Source organism: Homo sapiens, chromosome 1 (genome assembly GCF_000001405.40).
Source record: "Homo sapiens chromosome 1, GRCh38.p14 Primary Assembly".
In the NCBI taxonomy this organism is placed as follows: domain Eukaryota; kingdom Metazoa; phylum Chordata; class Mammalia; order Primates; family Hominidae; genus Homo; species Homo sapiens.
Window position 1 is genome coordinate 202,960,601 of NC_000001.11, and position 8,303 is coordinate 202,968,903.

At 50.5% G+C, this 8,303-nt stretch overlaps 1 protein-coding gene across 1 annotated transcript, besides 3 other annotated features; it reads right to left on the reverse strand.

Moving 5' to 3' along the window:
* CYB5R1 (cytochrome b5 reductase 1) lies at window positions 1,273-6,657 on the reverse strand. The gene is made up of 9 exons (NM_016243.3): window positions 6,591-6,657; window positions 6,149-6,298; window positions 5,928-6,000; window positions 5,287-5,393; window positions 4,771-4,900; window positions 4,012-4,095; window positions 3,042-3,127; window positions 2,466-2,565; window positions 1,273-2,099 (listed from the first exon to the last, which is right to left on the reverse strand). Exons 1-9 carry the CDS (start codon window positions 6,603-6,605, stop codon window positions 1,927-1,929), a joined length of 918 nt encoding a protein of 305 aa, NP_057327.2. The 5' UTR covers window positions 6,606-6,657; the 3' UTR covers window positions 1,273-1,926.
* Window positions 6,565-6,614: a silencer, noted in NCBI's record as "silent region_1712". NCBI's record gives its function as "represses an Ori minimal core promoter by ATAC-STARR-seq in GM12878 lymphoblastoid cells {active_cell/tissue: GM12878}" and the evidence as "EXISTENCE:reporter gene assay evidence [ECO:0000049][PMID:35858748]".
* Window positions 6,685-6,844: a silencer, noted in NCBI's record as "silent region_1713". NCBI's record gives its function as "represses an Ori minimal core promoter by ATAC-STARR-seq in GM12878 lymphoblastoid cells {active_cell/tissue: GM12878}" and the evidence as "EXISTENCE:reporter gene assay evidence [ECO:0000049][PMID:35858748]".
* Window positions 7,461-7,755: a silencer, noted in NCBI's record as "tiled region #11869; HepG2 Repressive non-DNase unmatched - State 1:Tss". NCBI's record gives its function as "represses a minimal TATA promoter and a strong SV40 promoter by Sharpr-MPRA in HepG2 cells {active_cell/tissue: HepG2}" and the evidence as "EXISTENCE:reporter gene assay evidence [ECO:0000049][PMID:27701403]".

An 8,303-nucleotide genomic window follows, 5' to 3' on the forward strand; every position in this document is an offset into this window, starting at 1 on the left:
AACACGGTGAAACCCCATCTCTACTAAAAATACAAAAAGTTAGCCGGGCGTGGTGGCGGGCGCCTGTAGTCCCAGCTACTCGGGAGGCTGAGGCAGGAGAATGGTGTGAACCCAGGAGGCGGAGCTTGCAGTGAGCCGAGATTGCGCCACTGTACTCCAGCCTGGGTGACGGAGCGAGCCTCCGTCTCAAAAAAAAAAAAAAAAATGTCATTTGTCTGTCTTAGACTGTGAGTTCTTTGGGGGTCTAAGACCAGTGTTGGTCACACTTTTATCCTCAGGGCCTCGCATAGTGCTTGGCACATGCCAGATCCTTAATAAACATTTGTATGTTGAGTGGATGAGACAAAAACCCATGCAAGACAAGGAATGGTGATCTTCCACGCAGGAAATTCTCTTTACAAGCCTGCTTCACTATCTGAGCCCAACGTTCCTAAGCAAGATTTTCCTTCCTGGAGGTGAGGTGGCTGAGACTGTGTTACAGAGCCCAGTGCCATACACATATTAGCTGATCAAGAAATGTTGGATGGAACACCACCAACAGAATTTACTGAAGGTTCTGCCCTGGGGAGGAGTGAATTCTGAGGGTCCCACAAATCTTTCTCTCAGAAGCCCCAGAAACAGCAATAGACAGTTGCTGAAAAGCAGAAAAGCAATGTCGACCTTCATTCTGAGCCCACCACATTGTTTTGTTGCAATGGGAGTAACAAAGAAGAATCTGGAGAGGCTGCCCTAGTCCTACCCTGGGAAAGGGAGTAGATTGGGTCATGCTACATAGCAGAGGAGAAGGGTACTCAGGACAGATGAGCCTGGGGGAGGCCAACTCTATCTGGGCATCAACAATTCCGGCCAGGGCTGGTGATGTCAGGTTACTTTTTAAAGAAGAAGGCTTCCCTTCCAAACAGAAAGACAACACTTTGATTTGTGTGCCAGGTTCCCTGAAGGATAAATATGGTGAAGGATAGGCCAAGAGAAGGAAGAAGGGGAAGAGTGGCCTATCAAGGGAACACTGTGAGGGGCAGCTGGGCTCAAAAATGTCCCCTCTAATGTGTGTTCTCCTTCCCCCACCTCGAGAGCCTCCAGGGAGAAGCGGAGCTCTGGCTCTGCTGAGACAGCTGCTGAGATGATCACTGAGTCTGCTGGCAGCTCACATTTCAGCACATGGTACAACTTCTCAAAGGTTCTTTGGAACACCTGGGAGAGTTGCATGGTGGCAAACCCTTCCTCCCTAGGTCCTCGGGGATTTGGAAACAAGGACCCCAGACACAACAACCCTTTCAATATCACACAGGGGCCTCAGCCCCATTTATTTGCACAGCCAGGGGTTCCTGCCACAAACAGCAGTTTTCGATTATCAGTAGCTGTTTCCCTCTAGCCTGGGCAGGGGCTGAGAGAGACACACACAGAAATATGATATTTCAGACTCCTTTGAGATCTGAAGAAATCATTTCCTCCTTTCTTGCCATCTCCATAAGACCACCTCTGGAAGTATGCTATGCTCAACTTATACTCACACATACAGATTTGCTCATAGGTTGAACAGTGAAGTTTAAGTAAAACCCATTGCACAGACTGTTCCTTTCATCACAGACACAAAGAAGGTGAGAGTAAGATGCTATCAAGGAACTAGCCAATCTTGGACCAAGCGTACATGCTCCCTTCCTTCTTACTCCATGGAAGAGACTGCTCCATGGGCCTCTCCTGGACCTGTTGCCACGGGGAGATTTAGGAGGCCATCCAAGGAGTGACTGAGCCTTGGCCCTCTTCCATGGCTACAGGAATATTGTTCCTGCAGGTACTATCCAGATTTCAGCTCTAGATGTAACTGAAAAAACCTGAAACTCTGAGGAAAGGAATCTAAGGCTTATAGTGCTTGAGTACTGATGGGGAACAACTGCAGCGAACAGCACCAGGGAAGCTGGAGGATGCTCAGTAGGTGAATCGCATCTTTTGTGAGTAGCCCAGTTTGTCCAAGTTGGGATGGCAGGCCAGCTGCACCATTGGGGGTGGCCCACAAAGCAGTACCAGCACATCATCCCCTGGAGCGGGCAGGTGTTCCCGGATCATGTCGGCAGTCACAAAGCCCTTGCTGTAGGCCCAATCTGAAGTATGGGGAGAAGAAAGTACTTAATACTCCAGATACATGCTGGCAAGGGGGTGTGGTGCCATGAGACTGGGGAGGGCCCTGAAAGGCTCTGGAGAAAGTGTCAAGTGGTAGCAGCAGCTGGGAATGGGTATACTCAGCCTGCCTCAAGCTGAGCCTTAGCAGCACCGCCATCCCTGTCACCCACCTGGTAAACAGGAACCCAAAGGAAAGGGACCAGGAGATCACTGTGTCTGTGCACTCAGACTTCCGAGTTGGCAGTGTGAGGCAAGGTTGATTTCAATGAAGCCAGAATTCACAAAGGGGCAAGGCTTTGATTTTGACGATGAGGGGATAGTGGGATGTCCAGAAATGGGAAGGATACCTTTTGGGGGATGATCCAGAGTGAACCAGAGCTTAAAGCGATTGGGATAGCGGGCCTGCAGTTCCTCTAAGTCCTCCCGCAAGATGATATCCTTTTCTGTCTGAAATGCAAAGGGGAAGGAAAGTCTTTAGGAGTCTTCTCAGGCCCACATAAAAAGTTTTCTGCTATACAACTTTCCAACTAAGAAAAAGAATGTTAAGGGAAAGCAAAAGTTCTAGGAAATAAGCAAGACTTGCAGTGCTTTTAGGGAGTTAGGATGAGGAGAAGAGGGGAACAGCCTTTATCTACACATTATGAAGGAACAAAGATGAATATTTAACCAAGAAGATCTAAGTTTCTGTGCTCCAGACTAGATACCTTAAAAGTTTTCTTCTTTCCTTGGGGACCAGGGAAGGAATTTGATTCAGTGCTCTGTCCTTTTCCTCCTTATTGAAAGAGGACCCTGTGCCTTACAGAGGGGACCTTGGGCAGAGGCTAAAACAGGGCACTGGGCCAGTTCTGCCCATCCATACCACGTCTCTCAGCCCTACCCACACAGCAACTTTGAAGTCTTAGGGTGGAGGAAAACAAACCAACCTGGTTGGCAAAAAGCAGAAAGCACTGGGTTGGATCTTCAGGGACTTTCAGGATGGCCCGGATCAGCTGTAGCATTGGGGTGATTCCTGCATGAAGATACCCCACAGTGAAATGTAGTGGCCACACTCTCTGCCCTGTCCTGGCTCCTTAGCTGACCAGCCCTTTCATCTTCATTCTGCTCATTCACCACTCCACTCCATTTTCCTTTAGCATTCTCATCCTCTAAACTCTTCCTGCATATTCTCCAACATCTGTATTTCCGGGCACCCTTCAAATTCATCTAAGTTCATATTGTAGAAATCTTTCTTAGGAACTAATCTAAGACTCTTCTGAAAGTCCTTTGGAGGCTAGGACTCCAGTGTCACAAATGACTACAAGTACCTCCGGATTCAATGATGAGGGTTCTAGAACACTGTATTTGCAGAGGTTAAGTGCATGTACTTAGGCACTAGGCAGAGCCAAATACTAATTTTGCTCCAGGCCATTACCAGTGAAATAACCCTGTGGAAATCATTTAGCCTCTCTGGAACCCCATTGTCTCTCTGTAAAAGGAAAAGGCTAGTACCTACTTCATAGATACCTATATATGTGTCTAATTTTTGTGTCTAATATATAGTAGTGTATTAGACTACACAGTGTCTAATGCACAGTAGTGTCCAATGCTAATTTTCTTTCTTCCTAGCTAGTCATTCCTAGCTGCTTCTCTCTTCTCTCACCTAAAACTATTAGATCCATTCAAAATGAGGAAAGCTCATTTAATTTGTTTCTCTAATTCCATCAGTTAAAATTTTTTTTGGTTTCTACCTGCTTATGATTTTGTTTTTCAGATACTAGGGAGTTCTAAGCATTGCTGGAAATCCCCTGATGAACAACAGCTTGGCTATGGTTACCAGTCTTCAGAGGGTCACCTAGGAATTTGCATGGCAACAGTCAACAATGGTGGGAGAGAAAGGCCCTCAGTGTAATGCACCTGTCCCGCCGGCAATCATTCCCAGTTTCTTCGCCACTCGGGGTTCTGGTGGAGATTTCTTGTTGGGCTGAATGTTAAAATGCCCTGAGAGGTCAGGTGAAGAGAGCAGTGGAAGAATAAAGTCAATACAGCGAACTTAGAAAACAAATGCAGAGTTGAAAATATGCCTGAGGCCAGTTGAGCAGCTGCTATGACATCTGATCCTGGAGCTTGGGTGGAAGCTTGAGTTGAGCCAGCCCTGACAATAATATAGTTGAGGGACAATGGGGCCAGGGCTATCTGTGAGTCAGTTCAGCGCCACACAATGTATCAGCTGCTTCTGGCAAAGTGTCACTCCCTGGTGAAGGAGACAGGCACAGAGCCAGGTGTGAATCTATTTTCCCAAGTGGCACACAGCAGCTCCAGGGACTTGCTAATGCACCCAGCTGTTCCCATGGGAAGGGCTGAAAGCTATCTCTGGCTCACTCCACAGCTCACCCAGGGGGGCAAATTTTTGAAGGTGGGGAAGAGGGGCACATGTTTGCTTTAGTAATCTCCACAGCTGCCATGGCTAGGGAATTCAAGTGGAGGAGGAACTGCTTCCTGTGGCAAATGGGGCTGAGAAACATGCCTTTCTATTGTATCAGCGCTATGTTTAGAAGGAAGGGCGGCCCTGGCCCTTACGTGCATACACATGTGTACACACAGCCATACTGTGCCAAGAGGACTATGGGAACTGATAAAGTGGGAGACAGGCTCAAGGAGAAGACAGGTCATTACCTTTTCCAGTGTAAGTGAGCAACCCGCTTGGCCCCCGAAACTCCACCACATCCCCAACCTTCAGGCTATCCAGGTACTGAGACATCTTCCCTCCCTCAGGAAATTTGGGGTGCACACCCTTCAGGTAGACCTTACAAGACAGAGAGAAAAATACCTTATTTGGAATGTCACTGGTTTCTGAGCCCCATGTTGACTAAACCTCCCTGAGGCTGGGGCAGGGATCAGATATGTGCTATCTTTTCCCCGTCTACATACTTTCTTTCTTTCTTTTTTTTTTTTGAGTCAGAGTTTTGCTCTTGCTGCCCAGGCTTGAGTGCAGTGGCGCAATCTTGGCTCACTGCAACCTCCGCCTCCTGGGTTCAAGTGAGTCTCCTGCCTCAGTCTCCTGAGTAGCTCATACTTTCTTCACATCCACAGAGTACATACCATTTCCTGCTGTCAGGCAAATCTTAGAAATTTCTACAAATCCCAGAAAGAATGGGTAAGCAGCCCCTGGGTCCCTTCCTAGCCCCTTACCTTGATGACAAGATCCACATAGCCTTGATCCTCATCACTGGTGACAGGAGTGTATGGCCTGATGACCAGGCTGCCATCAATTCGGGTGGAGAGGTAGATATGTTTGCCTGGGGACCGTGCAGAGAGCTACATAAGGGTTGTCTGTGATGTGCTGCATCCCTCAAAATACTCAAAGAGATTTGAGAGAACAAGATGTCTTGCTTCCTGCTGTGGTCCCAAGGAGCTACAAGGCAGGGAAGATTTGCCCCATTGAGCCCTCAGTTGGATCTCTTATAAGCGCCCAGTTGAGGAAACACTTATTTCCAGCGTTTCCTGCCAGTTACTGCCAGGACCTTGACAGATGAGCCAAAAGGGTCTGGGCAATGGGAAAAAGTTAGTAGTGCTTGCTCAGAGGGAGTAATTAGCAAATCCTGCAGGGAAGAGGCAAGACTGTTGAGTGTTAAAGCTGGATGGGGGTCATGGAAGCCACACTCTAGAGGGGCCCAGTGGCACCTCACAGCTTGGAGGATGCAGAGCCAAGTGGGGGAAGGGGAATGGTGTGTGGAGCAAACCGGTTGAAGCAGCGTGTTTCATGAGATCCCAGGAGGGGAGTCACCTTCTGAGGATACCAGGGAAAGGAGCCCATTCCACACTTTCCTTACCCACAGGCAGCCCCAGAGTGTGGTGGGCGGTGGGCAGGGCAAAGCGGAACCTCTTGGTGTTGTGGCTCACAGTCTGGAGGGTGGAGGACACAAGTGTTTCACCAAGCGCGCCTGGCGCTGCCACGTCCCTTGGACATCCCAACCACCGTGGGTGCTGTACCCTCCATGCCAGGAGCACTCTGGTCCCCTCCTTCACCCTGGCCCTTTCTTCCCCAACTTACCGTCTTGTCTAGCAGTCGTAGCAGGTACTTTTCATTGGGGTCCAGGAGAGTGACCTGAGGCCGGCGGGACCTCCGAACCAAGTAGGAGCCCACAGCCAGGCCGAGCAGAGTGACCAGCCCCACCCCCAGGGAGGCCAGCAGGACGGGGCTCTGTGGGTAGAGGAGGCAGCGTGACCGCCAGGCTGGGTAAGAGCCCGGGGCTTGGGTGGTGACCGTCCCAGGGGTGGCGATCCCGAGCTCCAGCGCGGAGGCATGCCAAGGGCAGAGGGGTAACCTGGCGGAGTCCCGAGCCCGGATGTGCGGGATCGGGACCCCAGCATCCACGGTGGGCCCAGAGCCCTGCGGGGCGGGGTCGGCAGCGACAGCCCCTGGTCCGGAGCTGAGTGGCCAGAACCAGATGGGGAGGGGTCCCCCAGTGGAGGATACTGAATGAGGGTCTTACCGTCTGGATCCCCATGACGGAGCGCCTTTTCCTCCACCACCTGACAAGCCGACAGATCCCACAATGCGCCGCGGGGCGGGTCGGAGGGCGGGGCAGGCCGGGGGCGGGGCCGGGCAGGAGGCAGGACCTCGCGGCTGGGGGGGCAGGAGGCGGGGCCTGGCGGGGGGGGGGGGGGGTGTCTGTCGGGGGCGGGGCCTAGCAGGAGGTGGCGGCGGCGGGGCCTTTTGGGGGCGGGGTCCGGCAGAGGCGGGGCTGGGCCCCTCTGCGCGCCACCCTTTCCCTCCGCTACTCGGTGGCTCAGGGTCTCCGGTGCTTATTCAATACTTTTTTTTTTTTTTTTGAGTCGGAGCCTCGCTCTGTCGCCCAGGCTGGAGTGCAGTGGCGCGATCTCGGTTACTGCAACCTCCGCCTCCCAGTTTCAAGTGGTTCTCCTGGCTCCGCCTCCCGAGTATCTGGGACTACTGGCGTGCGCCACCACGCCCGGCTAATTTTTTTTTTGTATTTTTAGTACAGACTGGGTTTCACCGTGTTGGTCAGGGTGGTCTCGAGCTCCAGGGCTCAAATAATCTACCCGCTTCGGCCTCCCAACGTGTTGGGATTACAGGCGTGAGCCATCGCGCCCGGCCCCAAGATCTTTTAAGACCGCAGCTCCAGCCTCTCCTCCCAGCGAGGTGGTCCCTGCCACTTCGACCCGCTTATATCCGAACTGGATGGGAGTTCTGCCTAAGGTAGAACCACGCTAAATTGGGGGATTGGAAATCTCTTGAGTCTGCGGGTGCTGAGCGGAGAGTGTAACGATGAACCAGAGACAGGCTCAAAGTAGAGCAGAAGGGCCTGAAGTTAATCATTGTGCAGTCACCTTAGTTTTTCAACCGGCTGAATTGCAGCAAGAGAATGGAACAGCCCAGAGGAGTCTCTTACAGGAGTGAACAGTGGCATGGCAACTTCATTTCCTTTTGACAAAAGACTGATTTTGTTTACAGCGCCAAGCCGTCAGCCTATCAGGATGATTCAGGAGCTTCCTTTGGTTTCAAAGACCAAGCTTCACATCCTGATTTGGGTTCTTGTGCCCTTAGGGTCAAAGAAGTGGGCTTTGGAGGCAGAGTGTACAGAATAAGAATCTTGCCTCTAGCACTTATTGGCTCTGTGACCTTAGATAGCTTACTCAACCTGAGTTTCTTCATCTACAGATGGATATAAGATGGATATCTACAGATGGATATATATTATTATCTACAGATAGATTGTATCTAGTTCATAGCTTTGGTGTGAGGCTTCAGTGAGATATGTTAACGTGCTTAGTGTAGTGCCTGTCATAAAGCAAAATATTCAACAGTTGGCAGCTACTATTATAACTTAAAAGACAGCACAGAGGGTCAGCTATGGTTTTAGGAATGAGCTCTGCCTGGGGCACAAGCATGGGACAGGAGGAGGCAGGAAAAAACATCAGGAGCCGCTGGAGCTACAGATTTCCCAAGATGACCATTCTTTCTCATACATGAGTTTCTCAACTAGAATGACATTTGCTCTTTGATATACCGTGATGGATGAGATCTCTGCAGATGTCAGTGTCAACATCTTAAACTAATACCATCAGGGCAGCAGGGACATTAGAGCCCCCAGTTTTCAGTTGTATTTGGTGAACTCTGTGAATGATCCAAGAGATACTTAGTTTTCCTTTTCCTCTCCACTGGCTGAAAATGTTCCTAAGAC

Coding starts and splice junctions, on each gene's coding strand:
- CYB5R1 (NM_016243.3), bottom strand. Junction 6,001..6,148: donor TACGACTGCTAGACAAGACG/GTAAGTTGGGGA, acceptor TCCACCCTCCAG/ACTGTGAGCCACAACACCAA. Junction 3,128..4,011: donor AATGATTGCCGGCGGGACAG/GTGCATTACACT, acceptor ATCTTCATGCAG/GAATCACCCCAATGCTACAG.